This window comes from Homo sapiens, chromosome 16, assembly GCF_000001405.40.
Source record: "Homo sapiens chromosome 16, GRCh38.p14 Primary Assembly".
NCBI classification, from domain to species: domain Eukaryota; kingdom Metazoa; phylum Chordata; class Mammalia; order Primates; family Hominidae; genus Homo; species Homo sapiens.
In genome coordinates this window covers 28,292,222-28,309,107 of record NC_000016.10, presented here as the reverse complement: position 1 = coordinate 28,309,107, position 16,886 = coordinate 28,292,222, and the positions used below count along the sequence as shown (strand labels likewise).

At 54.1% G+C, this 16,886-nt stretch overlaps 1 protein-coding gene across 2 annotated transcripts in view, besides 1 other annotated feature; it reads right to left on the bottom strand.

The window, feature by feature from the left end:
* Nucleotides 1–16,886, bottom strand: part of SBK1 (SH3 domain binding kinase 1) — a 65,169-nt gene that overhangs the window by 14,742 nt on the left and 33,541 nt on the right. Inside the window, exon 1 of one of the 2 annotated variants that reach the window (NM_001024401.3) lies at nucleotides 15,808–16,583. The exons of the other annotated variant lie outside the window; for it this stretch is intronic. The gene's annotated coding sequence lies outside the window, so the exon portion shown is untranslated. Of the gene's footprint in view, nucleotides 1–15,807; nucleotides 16,584–16,886 lie in introns of those variants that run through there. 2 annotated transcript variants of the gene reach the window in all.
* Nucleotides 16,483–16,712: a silencer, noted in NCBI's record as "silent region_7307". NCBI's record gives its function as "represses an Ori minimal core promoter by ATAC-STARR-seq in GM12878 lymphoblastoid cells {active_cell/tissue: GM12878}" and the evidence as "EXISTENCE:reporter gene assay evidence [ECO:0000049][PMID:35858748]".

Genomic DNA, 16,886 nt, shown 5'->3' with positions numbered 1-16,886 from the left:
GCCTCCTGCTGTGGAGGATTGCCCGTCTGCATTGTTGTGGGAGCCACTGGGAAACTTCGATCATGTTTGGCTGCTGGGATATGGGGGCTTGTTTGTTACAGCAGCTGGCACTACCCCAATTCAAGGGTTATGCAGCAAGTAAGCAGAAGAGCTCAGATCTGGGGCTGCATGTGATGGCACCTGTAGTCCCACCACTTTGGGAGGCCGAGGTGGGAGGATTGCTTGAGGTCAGGAGTTCGAGGCTGCAGTGAGACATGATCACACCACTGTATTCCAGCCTGGACAACAGAGTGAGGACCCCATCTCTATCAATTAAAAACAAAACAAACACACACACACACACACACACACACACACACACACACACCCCAAAGAACGCCAGGCACGATAGCTTGTGCCTGTAATCCCAGCAGTTGGATTGGGAGGCCAAGGCAGGTGGGTTGCTTGAGCCCAGGAGTTCAAGACCATCTGGGTAACATAGCAAGACCTCCATCTCTATCTACAAAGAAACAAAAAAATTAGCTGGGCATGGTGGCACATGCCTATAGTCCCAGATACTTGGGAGGCTGAGGTGAAAGGATCGCTTAAGCCTGGGAGGTCTCAACAGAGTGAGACCCTGTCTCAAAAAAAAAAAAAAAAAAAAAAAAAAAAAAAAAAGCCCAAGCATGGTGGCTCACACCTGTAATCCCAGCAATTTGGGAGGCTGAGGCAGGCAGATCACTTGAGATCAGGAGTTTGAGACCAGCCTGGACAACATGGTGAAACCCCATCTCTACTAAAAATGCAAAAATTAGCCAGGTGTGGTGGTGGGCACCTGTAATCCTAGATATTTAGAGGGCTGAGGCAGGAGAATTGCACGAACCCGGGAGGTGGAGCTGGCAGTGAGCTGAGATTGTGCCATTGCACTCCAGCCTGGGTGACAGCGAGACTCTGTCTCAAAACAAACAAACCAGAGAGATTAGATTTGAACCTCAGCGTGTCCACCTCCCTGGAATGTGGCCAGAGGAGGTTAACCAGGACAGTGACAATACTGGGCACCAAGTGACAAGGACCCAGTTACAGAAGTAGGTGGAGAGTGACCAGCCTGTAAAGAGAAGACGGCTTGTTCCTATCCTGCTCTGTGGGAGAATAATTATGCTGGCAAATATTTCCTGAGCATTTACTATATGCCAGGCACTGTGCTAACCACTGTGGATTAAATCTATTAGATGATAAGCACAGCAACCCTGGGAGGTGGGTGCTACCGTCGCTATCCCCATTTTACAGGAAGAGATATTGCTACGGTTTTAATGTCCCCTCCAAAACGCATCTTGAAATTTATTTATTTATTTTTTCTTTTCTTTCTTTCTTCTTTTTTTTTTTTTTTTTGAGACTGAGTCTCACTCTGTTGCCCAGGCTGGAGTGCAGTGGCATAATCTCAGCTCACTGCAACCTCTGTCTCCCGGGTTCAAGCGATTCTCCTGCCTCAGCCTCCCGAGTAGCTGGGACTACAGGCGTGAGCCACCACGCCCGGCTAATTTTTGTATTTTTAGTAGAGATGAGGTTTCACCATGCTGGCCAGGCTGGTCTCTAACTCCTGACCTCAAGTGATCCACCCATCTTGGCCTCCCAAAGTGCTGGGATTTCAGGTGTGAGCCACCACATCCAGCCAATAAATGGTAATTTTTACTCTGTCATTTTAGAGACAGCGAAGCATAGTGGTTAAGCTTTTGGACACTGGAGTGATGGTGCCTGGATTTGAATCTTGGCTCTGCCGCCTATTGGATGGATGATTTTGAACAAATGACATGACCACTCTGTGCCTCAGTTTCCACATCTGTGTATTGGGGTTAATAAGTCTCTGTGTCATAGGACATTGTGGGGATTAGATGAGTTCATTTACATGAGGCGCTTGGTACATGACAGGGGTTCCCTGAGTGTCGGCTATTTATCATCACTCTCCTCCCCGTTGGCATCATCAACCTCTTCTAGCACCCCCAGCCTCTCTGTTCACAGCGGCCGCTGTTACTCACAGCCACCCCCATCTGTACTGCACTGTGCTGGGGCTGGGGCTGGGGCTGGGGCTGGGGCTGCTGGAGGGAGAGAGCACCTTGCCCTGCAGATGCCCTGGCTTCTAGCCCAGCCCTGCCACTGACTTCCTACGTAACTTTCGGCAAATCACTGTTCCTCTCTGGCCATCAGTCTCTGTGCCTGTAAAATGGGGCTAATGATACTTTGCACAGGCCCTTGGGAAAATAGCTATGTGCCTACAGGGTCACATTCAGGAAAGCCAAGTATAAAAAGTTACAATTTCCCAAACACGTAGAGAATTATTCACCCAGCGTTTGTCACACCCTGGCTAAGTGCTGGGAATAGTGAGATGAGGAAGGCACAGGGCTTGCTTTCAAGGAGCTCTTCGGTTTCTTGCTGGGTTGTTAATCCCCTTCAAGGCCTATTCAGGTGCCACCTCCTGATTTAGGAAGCCGCCCAGATCCCTACTGCCAGGGCCCTCCTTGGAAATGTTGGAGCCCTGACCATTGCCCTGGCCTCATGGTTATCTGTGTCCATATTTTATCTGCCTCTCTGATTTGTGGGCTCATTCCCACTTGTCTGTTGCATTGCTCTAACATAGGCACCCCATGCCAACACCCCGCACAGTGCCTGAGCCCGAATAGCTTGCAAGTTACATAAACTCAACTCAAACCAGCTGAATTAAGCCAAAAAGGAAGTATATTGATTCATGAAACAAATGTTCAAGAGTATAATTGGCTTTAGGCATGCTTGGCCCCAGAACTCAAAGTCATCGGAAATCTCTCCACCTTTCTCTCCTCTCTGCTTATATCTTTATTGCTTTATTCTCAAGCGGGCTCTCCCCTTCCCCCATGATGGAAAAGCCGGCCCACAGCAGCGGCACAGCTGTGTCCTGCAGCTTTGCAGCCCAGGGTGAGAGGGTCCCTCTTTCCTGATGGCTACAGCAACAGTCCTGGGGCTAGATCTCGGTGGGTCACCTTTGGTTACTTGTTCATCTCTGAACAAGTCACAGTGACCTAGCAGATGGGATCGATCTGCTTATTGGCCAGGCCCTCCCTGCAAAACCATGGTGGAGACATCCCTTCCAAACTTCACGGGCAGAGAGAGGGCCATTACTGTAAGGAAGAGAAACTGATGTGGAACAGAAAACACCACATGCCCATTCAAGAATCCACTGAAAATATGTAAGCAAGGCAAGGATTGGGTCAAATCTGGTTTTAAGACAGTTTATCTGACTACGTATATAAGAAAGATCAGGGCTGGGTGCGGTAGCTCATGCCTGTAATCCCAGCACTTTGGGAGGCTGAGGCGGGTGGATCACTTGAGGTCAGGAATTCAAGGCCAGCCTGGCCAACATGGTGGAACATGTTGAAACATGGTCTCTACTAAAATACAAAAAGTAGCCAGGTGTGGTGGCAGGCGCCTGTAATCCCAGCTACTCGGGAGGCTGAGGCAGGAGAATCACTTGAACCCAGGAGGCAGAGGTAGCAGTAAGCCAAGATTGCACCACTGCACTCCAGCCTGGACGACAGAGAAAGTCTCTCTAAAAAAAAAAAAAAAGAAACAAAGAAAGAGAGACAGATTGGGGCCAGGTGCGGTGGCTCACACCTGTAATCCCAGCACTTTGGGAGGCCGAGGCAGGCGGATCACCTGAGGTCAGGAGTTTGAGACCAGCCTGACCAACACGGTGAAACCCTGTCTCTACTAAAAGTACAAAATTAGCCAGGTGTGGTAGCACACACCTGTAATCCCAGCTACTTGGGAAGCTGAGGCACAAGAAACACTTGAACCTGGGAGGTGGAGGTTGCAGTGAGCTGAGATGCACCATTGCACTCCAGCCTGGGCAACAAGAGCAAAACTCCATCTCTAAAAAAAGAAAAGAAAGAAAGAAAGATCTGGCGGGGAGAAACCTTGAGGCAGGTGAGGGGTCATATGGAGGTGCAGAGAGTGGGCTTGGTCCTGCAGGCTAAGGGAATTCAGCTCTGGTCCCCTTGCCTTACAGAGAAGTAAAGTGAAGCAGGTGAGAGAGGTCAGAGGTGCTCAGGGCCTGAAGTTCCACCATATGGCTGCTGAGGTGGGAGGATCACTTGAACCCGGGAGGTGGAGATTGTAGTGAGCTGGGATGGTGCCACTGCACCCCAGTCTGGGTAACAGAGTGAGACACCGTCTCAAGAAAAAAAAAATTACCGCTGCCGTGCGCGGTGGCTCACGCTTGTAATCCCAGCACTTTGGGAGGCAGAGGCGGGCGGATCACGAGGTCAGGAGATCGAGACCATCCTGGCTAACACGGTGAAACCCCATCTCTACTAAAAATACAAAAAAATTAGCTGGGCGTGGTGGCGGGCACCTGTAGTCCCAGCTACTCGGGAGGCTGAGGCAGGAGAATGGCATGAACCCAGGAGGCGGAGCTTGCAGTGAGCCGAGATTGTGCCACTGCACTCCAGCCTGGGCGACAGAGCAAGACTCCGTCTCAAAAAAAAACAAAAAAACAAACAAACAAAAAAATTACCATTTATTTTCTCAGTGTGCTGAGACTTTACATTGCTGCTGTCAATCAATCTTCATGGCAGCCCCATTTTACAGATAAGGACACTGAGGATCAAAGGGGTTAAGCAACTTGCCCAAAGTCACTCAGCTCCTGAGTGGCAGAGCCAGGGACTGAACCCTGAACGTCCCACTGCTCTATCTCCCCTTCTCTATTCTTGGTCTCTGGTTCGCAGCGCCAGGCCTCTCTCCAGCTCCAGTGTCTTCAGCACCACAGGCGTGGACAGCACCAAGGCCTGTCCAGCATTAAGTGCGAGGCTGGGGGAGGTTCCAGGAGGATAGGGAGCCAGGCACGGAGGAAATGCCGCAGAACTGGAACCCAGGCCCCCAGCGCTGGAAAGGCATATATGGATGTACTGCCATTCATTTGACCAAACTCTGAATGACAGACACTTGGGTCGTGGCTAACCTTTTGCTATTACTATAAACAATGAGTAGCCTTGTACAGAAGTCATTTTGCCATGTGCAGGTGAGTCCGTATGATAAAGTCTAGAAATAGGCTTGCTAGGTTAGAGGGTGAGTGAGTTTGGAATTTCTGGAGAGTGCCCAACACCCCCCATCCCACCCCACAGAGCTGTGGCACTGAACCTCTCCCAGCCACGTAGGAAGGGGCTGCTTCTTGGTGAAACACAGCAGTTGTCACTAGCTCCCTCACCCTCTCTGGGCCTCAGTGTCACTTTGGGACATGGCCAGACAGTCCCAGGTAGTTAATATGCTACCTTGCAATGGGGGAAAGTAGTGGGTGTGGTAGCTCATGCCTATAATCCCAGCACTTTGGGAGGCCAACAAGGGAGGATCTCTTGAGCCCAGGAGTTTGAGACCAGCCTGGGCAACATGGTGAAATCCCATCTCTACAAATTTTTTTTTGAAAAGCAGGCAGGAGTGGTGGCATATGCCTGTAGTTCCAGCTACTCAGGAGACTGAAGTGGGAGGGTTTCTTGAACTCAGGAATTCGAGGCTGCAGTGAGCTATGATTGCACCACTGCACTCCAGTCTGGGTAACAGAGCAAGACCCTGTCTCAAAAAAAAAAAAAAAAAAAAAAAAAGAAAAGAAAAGAAAAGAAAAAGAAAAAAGAAATAGTGAGAAGTAAGAACAGGTTTCTCATTTGTATTTGCATAAAATAACTCTAGAATCAACACTAGACATTAGCAAGGTGCTTAGCCACCTCAGCACCCAACCTGGTCACTCTCCACTCACTCCCACCTCTCTGAGCCATCATCAGTCACCTCTCAGCTACCACAGCAACTTACTAACTGGTCCCTGCCTCCAAGCCCTCTCAACACAGCTGCCAAGGAGCATTCCCTTACCCCCAGGCTCAGCAGCCTCTACTGGCTCTCATTGTGTTCCAAAGCCCTTACCATGGCCCTCCATTTACCCTTTGGCCCATCTCCCCCCCATATTCTGCCTCCCTCTGCTCAACACGCTGGTCCCCCCACTGTTCCCTGAACATGCCAGCCCCCTGTCTGGGGGCAAGTCCTTCTGCCTTCCCCTAGATATCCACAGCACAGCTCATTCCCTACAAGTTCTGTTCAAATGACAAAATGACACCTTCTCAACCAGGATTGCCCTACTGCACTCCTGACCCCCCCCCATGCCCTGCTCTATTTTTTCCTGGTAGGATGTATCACTTTCTCATGTATTATATAATGTACCAACTTCTGACATCTATTATGACTGTCTCTTTTCCTCACTAGAACTTAAGCAGCTGGAGGGCAGGAATTTTGCTGTCTGGTCTTGTTCACTGCTGTATCCTCCAGCTGCTAACATGTGCCTGGAGTATAGAAGGCACTTAGTAAATGTTTGTTGAATAAATGAATTAACCTCTGAGGAGAATGGCAGGAACTGGGTGAAAAGGGGTAGCGTAGGCATGAAAATTCCTACCGGGTACAATCCAGTTGGGTCTGGGGAGTAAAAGGAACCAAGAGACCAGACAGTGCCAGAGGAAAGTGCCAGGGAGGGGTGGCACCTGCCCGCCCACCTGCCTGCACCCCCAGAGAAGGGCCAGAGGAGAACAACTGCCCCCTGAATTCCCACAGCAGGCCAGTCTGTGCTCAAGAAGCAGGGGAGGAATCTGGGAGCCCCCTTCACACCCTGCCCAGAGTGGAGGCCTCCCTCTATGTCCCGAGGTGGATGTACCAGCCTGGCTCTCTGCCTTGTAACACCTTCCCTGAAGGATGTCCCCGACCTTCACCTTTGTTTACTCCAGTGCAGAAGTCTGTTCACTTGTGGAATCTCCTATTCACTGCCAGAGGGTGGGGGCCACCAAGCCAGGCTAGTGAGGTTCTTGGAAAGACTCTGGCCTCTGCTGTTGGTCCCAGGGAGCCCTGGTCATCCCTGGCCAGCCCCTCCTTCTCTCCAGTTTTCCAGTGGGTGAAATGAGGTAAGCTACTAGTTCTGCCTTCACGGGGCACCATGAGGCTCAGGACCTTCTTCCCTGAAAAATGTCCCATGTAGCACATGCATACTTCTACACACAACAGCAGGGACAGGGCTCCTGGGAGCCCACAAGCCTCTAGATAAGGCCTCTCCCTCCCCTTGGTCCTCAACACAAATACAGACCCCAGCAAGCTTTCTGTTTTGGCTCACAAAGAGAAGGAGGAGGAGTATATTCTCAAATCCCCTCCTTGTCTTCCCTTCGGGGTATAAATCCTGGCTCCATCCCTTTTTAGCTGTGTGACCTTGGGCAGTTTGTGCCACCTGCCTAAGCCTCAGTTTGCCCATCAGTAAAATGGGGCTGAGAATGCTCATTTAACAGGATGGGGCACAAAGTGGGTGTCAGTAAGAAGTTGCTGGTCAGAGGGGCCTGGACCTTGGATCTGTCGTTGACTCTGCAGGTGAGCCTGGGGAAGGCCTTCCTCTCACTGTGCCTTGGTTTTCTGTTCTGTAGATGGAGGCCATTTGGCTATGCTGAATCTCACCCCTGAACCCACTTGAGGCAGAAGGCACTGTAGGGATCCCCTGACCCCGCTCCTCCACTTCCCACATGAGGAGCCTGGGAGGAAGAGTCCAGACTTTCCTGAGATCAAGCTGCAGACACTTGGACATTCTTCCTCACTGCCCTCCCCACCAGGGGCAGTCTGGGGTTCCCGGGGCTGTGAACTCCTATTTGGCTCCGGCCTCTGCCTCAGCCTCCCCTCCCAGCTGGTGCACAGTCCGCCCCTTCTCGGGGCACATCTTTGGTGGCTATTAATAGCTTGTGACGCTGCCTTCCTGCAGCTGGTGCCCAGAGCTGGAACAGGCTCTCCAGCCTCTCCTGCCCTCCCCAGTGAGGCACTGTGAAAGGCAGGGGTCCTGGGTCCTATCCTCCTGGCTACTGGAGGGTGCAGGGCCCGGGGCAGCCCCCAGGGGTGTGGGATAAGCTGGGGAGGTCTTCCCAGCCTGGCTGCCTGGGTGAGGCAGGTGGCCCAGCACTCAGGGGTATCAACAGGAGTGCAGGATGCTGGGCACAGTAGGTGCCCACCACTGGCTGACAGGCAAGGGGACTGGGCTGAATGTCTACCAGTGGACAAGTGGTGGTCTCTGGTGAGATGGCTGGGTGAACAGAGGCCCCAGAAGAGATGGGCCCTTCTCCAGCTGCATCCTTCACCTCCTTTGCCTCCCTGAGCTCCTACACCGGGATGGACTGAAGACAGCCCAGCCTAGGAGCCTGCGGTCCAGGTTCAGGCTTTCACCGCCATTTCTAGCCTGGAAGCTTTGGATCTGCCACTTACCGTCTCCCCATTTCCCCATCCTCAGTAAAGTGAAATAATAAAATAACAGTGCAGTTTAGGGTACTATTAGTAATAGCCAACATTTATGAGCCACTGAAAGTATAAGCACTGTATATATATTGACTCATTTCAACTTCATGACAATCTCAGGAGAAGCTATTATTAATCCCCTTACATCCTTTACAGTTCAGGAAACTGAGACTCTGAGATAGGAAGCTTGGCCAGGCACAGCGGCTCAAGCCTGCAATCCAAGCACTTTGGGAGGCTAACACAGGCAGATGGCTTGAGCCTAGGAATTCAAGATGAGCCTGGGCAACATAGCAAGACCCCATTTCTATAAAACATTAAAAAAAAAATGAGCCAGGCATGGTGGCATGCGCCTGTGGTCCTAGCTAGTCGGGAGGCTGAAGCGGGAGGATCACTTGAGCCTGGAAGGCCAAAAGTGCCATGAGCTGTGATGACGCCACTGCACTCCAGCCTAGGCAACAGAGTGAGATCCCATCTCAAACAAACAAACAAACAAACAAACAAAAAAGAGAGATAGGAAGCTTAAGTGATGTGTCCTGTGTCACACAGCTAAGAAGTCACGTAGAGATCATCTATCTGGCTCCAAAATATTCAATAAGTATTTGTTGAGCACCTACTATGTACTTGGTACTATTTTTGGGTCTGGAATACATTCGTGAACCAAACAAACTGTCCTGCCCTCAAAGAGCTCATATTCTAGTTTGGAGGCACACAGTGACAAAGATGAGCAGGAGATGTGTGTCAGGCAGTGAGAAGTCCTCAAGGAACAGCAGAGCGGGAAAGAGGCAAGGGAATTGTGGGTGGGAGGCCAGCCCATGGAGAAGGCTGCATGCACATAGGCATTGTGGTGGGCGGGCTCTCCTGGCAGAGGGCACTGTGTGGAGGCCTAGAGGTGGGACCTGCTGTGTGCACAGGGATAAGGGAGTGAAGGGCAGGAGATGAGAGCAGAGGTGAGAAGGGATGGCTGTTGTCATTCAGGGCCTCCGAGGCCATGGCGGGGACCTGGCTTCCACTCCAAGTGGGATGCACTCCAAACCCCAAACCTGAACAAACCCTTCCTGAAGCCAACCTGGCCTGGAGAAGTGAAAAGTGACAGTGTCAACCTGACCCGATCAGACTCAGAAACTCCGAGGCCAGCTGTGGCAGCATCGCACACTGTTCTTGGAGTGGGGCTGAGGAGGGGGTGGGGGAAGCTTAGAGGTTTCTCGGGGAGGCCTGGGGCAAGTGCTGCAGATTCCTCCCTGACACAGTTCTCACTGCCATGGCCCCGTGTAAGTGGAAGCGTGGGGCAGGAAATCTAGCCCTGGAGCTCAGGCGAGGTCCCATCAGGTCCATTTGACTGGCCTTGGCTTGTGGACCATGTGTGAATGGTATCAAGGGAGGCAGACTCTTCCCTAAATCCCAGCTACGGAATCTTGAGGAAACAGCTTCACCCATACACCTCCAGTTTTTCCATCTGTAAAGATGGGGCTAACTTTCCCTTTCTGCTCAGGGCTTTGAGGACTTATATGAACAACAAACCCTTAATGGGTACTGGGTGCCATTCATGGCACTTTACATTCATTCTCTTACTCCTCACAGTGACCCTAAGAGGCAAGTACTAATATCATCCCCCTTGTTTACAGATGAGGGACCTGAGGCACAGAGAGATTAAGCACCTTGTCCAAGGTCACCCAGCTGAATCTAGGGATTGCGTTTTTTACCACTAAGCTGTGTTATCTGTGGGCCCCATTGTGCCTCCTGGAGACACCTAGGGTCAGGGCTGGCAGGCACCTGAGCTCCCAAGGTGGAAAAGTCTCCTCTCTGCAAGGCCTTGAGCCCTGGCTCAGAAAGTCACAAATTATGCTCATGGATAGGTAAACCCCTTCTGGCTATGGTGGGGGACCCTAACAAACCCAGAAAAGCTGCCCTGGAGGCAGTGGGGGCCCAGCGCTATACAGCCTCTCTGGGCCCAGATCAGAAGGAGGAGGATGGTCCCCTCCAGCCCCACCCGTGCCCTGTCTCCCAGCCCCTTGGGGCCATCCCAAAGCCCAGAGGCAGTTGGAACATCCTCTGCCCCTCTGGTGGTTGCCTAAAGCCATGAGGAAGGAGTGCTAGTGCAGTGGGAGATCACAGCAGTTCCCTGGGCCTGGATCAGCTCATTTGCATACCCCGGCAGGGAAGGCCAGAGCAAACACTTAAGCAGCAGGCCCTGCTCAAGCGCTTCATCTGCAACAGATCCACTTAATCCTCACAACAACTTTAGGAAGTGGCAGCTATTATTGTCTCCATTCTACGTCAGAGGAAACTGAGGCCCAGGAGACAACTGACCTGCCCAAGGTCACGCAGCCAGAGAATGGTGGAGGTGGGCTTCAAACCTGGGCACTCAGACACTGGCTTCACACAAACCTTTGGTGGCCCACACAGCTGGGTGCAAATCCTGACTCTGGGGTTAACGTGGTGCTGTCCTCAGGGCTAAATGAGAAAACGCTGTCCAGCACTGAGCACTTGACACTAGGAGATGTTCCGCTGCTTCCTCTCCAACCCTGACATTACGTGGTTTCCCAAGGTGGGGCTGAGCTGGACCTGTCCTCTCTCCAGGTATGGCCAAGCAATTGTGGGGCGATGGGAGGGTGGCTGGGGAGGAGAGGGGACTTTAACTGGCCTTTCCAGGCCTAGCTGCCACCCCTTCCTGAGACCTGAAAGGGGGAGCAGGAGGCGAGCCAGGGGAGGGGTGGTTTGGGGAATACTTTGGCCTGGGGCCCATCCTTCTGGGGCAGAAAGTCTCCAGGAAACTCTCCAGCAGAAGGCAGCAGGCGCCTCACGTGGAAAGCATAGGCTGGGAAGGAGGAGGGCTTTACCCACAAAACCACGGTCCCAGCCCTCAGGCAGAGTGCTAGAAGAGGCTCAGGAAGGGCCTCCGCCCTCACCCACACCTGGGGCAGGGGCAAGCTCCACTTCACAATGCTATCCTGCCTCCCAGGGACCCCTTCCCTTTCTTGAGGACAGAACCAGAAGCCTCTGCCTCCCTAGACCAGCTCCCAAGGAAGAGTAACTGTGGAGGCTCAGTCACCCACCTGCCGACGCCCCATTTAATAAGGGCCAATAGTTAGTGAGCATTTTTGATATGGGATACCCTGTCCTAGGTCCCTTCCATTCTTTAGCCTGCTTAATCCCCCTGATGATCCTACAAGATAGTATTATCCCTCTTTTATAGATGAGGGCACTGAGGCCCAGAAAGGGTAAGTGCCTTGCTGAAGGTCACACAGCATCTCAGTGAGCTTCAAGCCCAGGCAGAATCCAGAGCCTGAGCTCTCCTCCATGGTGCTCTGGTATCTGCTTTGACCTCAGGTTGCTGGAGACCTGTGTTCAGAAAAAGGGTGCACTCCCTTCTAGAGCTGTGCCCAGTGACAGGGGCCTGCTGCTGGCCCCTGGCCCAGCTACTCCACAATGCCCATCAGTTTCGTTTCTGTTCAGGAAATGTCAACTTTTGTTTCTTTTTTTTTGAGACGGACTCTCAGTCTGTCACCCAGGCTGGAGTGCAGTGGCACAATCTCGGCTCACTGCAACCTCTGTCACCTGGGTTCAACCAATTCTCCTGCCTCAGCCTCCCTAGTAGCAGGGATTACAGGAATATGCCACCGCACCTGGCTAATTTTTTGTATTTTTAGTAGAGACAGGGTTTCACCATGTTGGCCAGGCTGGTCGCAAACTCCTGACCTCAAATGATCCACCTGTCTCAGCCTCCCAAAGTGGTGGGATTACAGGTGTGAGCCACCGCACCTGACCAATATTTTTTAGTTACTCCTATAATTAGGCCCCCAGCTCTCCTGCCTGACCAAAACTTAGACCAGCTTGGACTTAGTCCTAGAAAGTTAGAAGGAAGAAACTTACAGCTACAAGAAGCTTTCATCCAGTTCTTCTGTGGACAGAGGGGTGAACGGAACCCTGGACAGTAGCCCTGCCCCAAGAGTCCTGAGCAAGACCTGCACCTAGAACCAGGTCAGGAGGGGAAGGGAAGGACTCGGGTTTGCTGTCCCTGGGACACATGGGGCAAGTGGGACAGAGAAAACAGGTTTTTGGTTGCTGGATGTCACTAGTTCAGGGGTAAGAGTGCAAGATGGGATCAAGAGTGGAAAGTGGAACCAGGCTGGAGAAGTTCAGGTTCACTTCACCACATAGCCCTTAAGACCCTGGGTGGACACTATTCTGTGCACGTTCTAACTTGACCATGGGGGTGGGAGGGAACACCCATGAGTGCAGAACACACACAGACGAAGGTTGCCCACCGAACAAAGATTTTTTGGGCTGTGTGTGGTGGCTGTAATCTCAGCATTTTGGGAGGCCAAGGCAGGTGGATCACCTGAGGTCAGGTGTTCGAGACCAGTCTGGCCAACATGGTGAAACCTCGTCTCTACCCAAAATACAAAAATTAGTTGGGTGTGGCCGGGTGTGGTGGCTTACACTTGTAATCTCAGCACTTTGGGAGGCCGAGGAGGGTGGATCACGAGGTCAGGAGTTCAAGACCAGCCTGGCCAAGATGGTGAAACCCCGTCTCTACTAAAAATACAAAAAATTAGCCAGGCATGGTGGCGGGTGCCTGTAATCCCAGCTACTCGGGAGGCTGAGGCAGAGAATTGCTTGAACCCGGGAGGTGGAGGTCGCAGCGAGCCGAGATTGTGCCACGACACTTCAGCCTGGGCAACAGAGCGAGACTCTGTCTAAAAAAAAAAAAAAAAAAAAATTAGCTGGATGTGGTGGTGGGCATCTGTAATCTCAGCTACTCAGGAGACTGAGTCAGGAGAATCACTTGAACCCAGGGGCTGGAGGTTGTAGTGAGCCGAGATCTCGCCATTACACTCCAGCCCGGGCAACAAGAGTGAAACTCTGTCTCAAAAAAAAAAAAAAAAAAAAAAGATTTTTCTGGGCCTGCAAACCCAGATGCCAGCATCGGGGGCCAGGAGGTGACCTAAGGGAGCGAACGGCTGCCTGGGGGTGGACTGGAAGGCAAGGGCCCTGTCTAAAGAAGGTGGTCATTCTCCCGCTGTGGCCTGAGGTTGCCACATCATCTGATTTTTCAAGAAGATCCAAAAATCAGCTTTTGTATGTGAAATTGCCTCCCCCCGACTTTTTTTAAGCACTCACAACAAAGACAAACATGTAAAATACATTGGACCAACAAAAATCGTCTATAGGCTGTATTTTACAGCACGTGCCCTACCATACGCTGGGCTCTGAATTAGACAATGCTGATGCAGTATGGACAAGACAAACCTGGTTCCCGTCTCCTGGAGCTGAGTCTAGATGTGGAGACAAACTCTCACTGCACATGTAGACACACGCCACTACCTCCAAGCCACCAAACCACCAACCAATCAAATTCAGCTCTCTACTACGTGCCAGCTCAGGTCAGCTCAAAAAGGGAGGTGGAGGCAGAAAACGGCTCCGGAGCCATCCTAGAGTGGGGCTTTTCAGGTCAGGGGAAGAGCACGTGACGGAGGCAGAGAATTAGAGGACACGGAGGAGATGGGCTAGGAGAGGTGGTTTAGGGCCAGGCTGCAGTCCAGAGACTATCTGGACTCAGCGACTTGATTCTGGACTCAATGGAGAGCCACTGCAGGTTAGTGAGGAGGGGAGGTCTTGCTCCTTGTCCTCCTCTGGCCTCCTCACAGTTTGCCCTGGACACAGTGACTCAAATTTCTGCTCTTCAGCCTCTGGTTCCACTGCCTTGCCTGTGGGGTGTGTGACAAAGCCCTGGGCTTCTGGGAACCCCCACTGGGGGGAAATGAACTCCTTCAGCAATGGGTAGAGCAAACCTGGATGCTTGTCCTGCCCAATTTCGATCTCCATCCGCCCTTCAAGCTGCAGAGAGGCTCACTCTCTGTCATTTTCTCTGGGAAGGGCCACGTGCTTGCCCAAGGTCACTCAGTCTTCAGGGCACCTGATTCCCCCACAGCCTGTGCTGAAGGTGGCTGCCTCAACTGTCCTGAAATTGGCAGGAGAGGCTGCCAGAGGTCTGCCCGCATCAAGTGCCCCCTACCCTCGTCTCCAGCTGGTCACATCCTCACCCTTGGGTCAGTGCCAGCAGCAGGTGGGGGTGGGGGCACTTGGTGCTGGGAAGGTGGGAGATGAGGAGTCAGCCACCCAGGCTCAGGGCTCCCAAGGCTGTAGCAGGACAGGGATCAGCTGCTTCAGGTGTAGGGTCAAGAATCTCTCAGCTGGACCTGGCCCGGTCCACTTCAACAGGCCCAATGGGACGTGCCCAGGGGTCTGATGATCAGGAGACATCAAGAAAGGAGATAGGAATGAAGTGGGGAAAAGGACCCTGACTCTAGCGCATGGTCCATCACAGACATTGGCGACAGGTTTGTTGAATGAATAAGTGAAGGAGCTACTGGCAGGGCTAGCTGTATCCTGGGTCCTGCCTTCCCGAGCCTCAGTTTGTGCACCTATCAAATGGGTCCAGCATCACTGCTTGTCTGCAGAAGGCTCAGAGAGAAGAGATGAGAGGAACTCCCAGCAGCCCAGAGTGTGTTCTTTCCATGCAGTCCAGCCCCTTCTCAGGATCTGATTCAGGATTTCAGGGTACAATGTCCCCTAGGGTCTCTCGGCTTCCTCATATGCGGTAGAGCCTGGGGTTCAGGACCTCACTGAGGGCCAGGCTGGGGTACGGCCGTGTGTACCACCTGGAAAGCCACAGTGAGACCCTGGAATTGGCCCTTGGTTGTCTGGGACACATTGAGCCAACCCTTGGTTTAACCTGGGTGTTCTCCAGGTTAGGAGGGGAAGGGAAAGACTTGGGTTGCTGTCCCTGGGACAAATGGGAACAGAACGGTGCCCTGACCTGAAATAGCTTCTTCATCTAGGCTACCTCTCCTCCCCAGAAACTAGCGCCTCACTTTGGGGGGTACTTACTCCCTCCCTGTCCCACAGGGAGTACAAAGTATGGTTTAGGTAAAGACCGCCAGTGTGGCCTGGGTCGGGCAGCAGAGTCACAGGGAAGATGCGATTCCCATTCATCCGCTCAAACACACCCCTTCCCCGCACTCTCACAGACAAAGACACACACCCGAAGCCCCAGCCATCACCCAGGGCCACATAAGGCAGCCCCCCTCACCTGTGGGCACCCCCAAATTTTCCCCTCTCGGGGGGACTTCACTAGAAGCTCAGCTTGGCCGTGGGGGAGGGGTATTCACACTCCAAGGACCTGGGGGCCAACCTCCAGGCTCGCAGCTTTTGGGGGGGGACTCTCCGCCCTCTTCCCCCCTCTCCATGGCACAACGGGCTCCACCACCACTCCTCCGTGGGGCCGGGGAGCTGCGCCCGAGCCTCAAGGCTAGGGAGTGGGGTGGGGGAAGGGAGAGGAGGAGGGGGCGGCTCCTCCAAGCGAGACACAAAGAGACGTCCTTCAGCCTCGGCTCCATGGCGACGCTGGGGAAGGGGGAGCGCGCAACCCGATACTTCCTTCCCCACCTGCAGGGCTATGGGGACCTCGGTGGCCACTCACCTGCCGCCCCTCACCTGGGCCCGGCTTACCTGGGCTGGGGCCGCGGGGACGCCGCGGCAGGGGGCCTGGGCGCCGTCGCGGTCTTCGTCTGCCCGGCCCCGGGGGCTCAGGGCGCCACGACCATGGACCGGGGTGCAAGCGGTGCCGCCAGGGGCTCAGTCGCCCAAGTCCTGGAGCTTTAGGGGGGGGATCCCCGAGGCTTCTTGCTGGTGAGAGTGTCTCTTGCTGTCCCCGGCTGCCTAGATTTGGGATTTCTATGTACCGGAGTTGGGGGGAATTGGGATCCCCTGATCTAGGGGCGTTCTGAGCTGGGTCTTCTTGTCTTGAGGTGTGGAGTTGTAATGACCGGATCTTGGGAGGGGGTTCTCGCAATCCCGGCCTGGGGGCACTGCGTTCTAGGTCTTGGGGCGGGGGCCCAGACTGAGGAGGGGGAGTCCTTGCGGTGCCGTAGGGGGCTTGCTGTCTTCTAAATACCGAGGAAGTCTCCGCTTTCCCCGCAGGGGAGTCGCTCGGTGTCGGATCCGGGAGGGCCCCCCCTCTTCCCCGAGGCTCGCCGGATCCTGGATGTGGAAGGGGGCTCCCCGCACTCCTCGGCTGCGGGGGCTTTAGTGGGTCCCGGCCACCGGCGGGCGCTGGAAGCCCCTCAGCCGCTGGGGGGCTCGGTCGCCGCCGCTACGAGCAGCCCGGCCCTGCGCTCCCGGCCCCCGGCCTGGCCCGGGCTCCGGCTGCGGCTCCAGCTCGCGCTCCGCCTGGCGCTCGGGCCCCGGCCCCGGCGCCCGCCCGGGCTGCGCTCCATCGCGGCATCGCGGCTCCGCCCTCCAGCCAGCGCGCACCTGCCCGCCCGGCCCGCGGCTCCGCCCTCCGGCTCGCGCGCCGCCGCCCGCCCCTTTGTCCGTCCCGCTCGGCGCGCGCCCTCGCGCAAGCGCGCTCACCCGCCGCGCGCCCGCCCTCCCGCCGCGCGCCGCGGAGCGCAGATTCTCCCCGCGCGGCGCCCCCACCCCCTTCCGGCCGCGCTGGGTCCTAGCGCCGGTGGCTCCCGAGCTGGCTCCCACCCCCCACCCCCCACCCACCCCACTCCTTTTCTAGGTCAGAGCCCACGAGGGGGCGA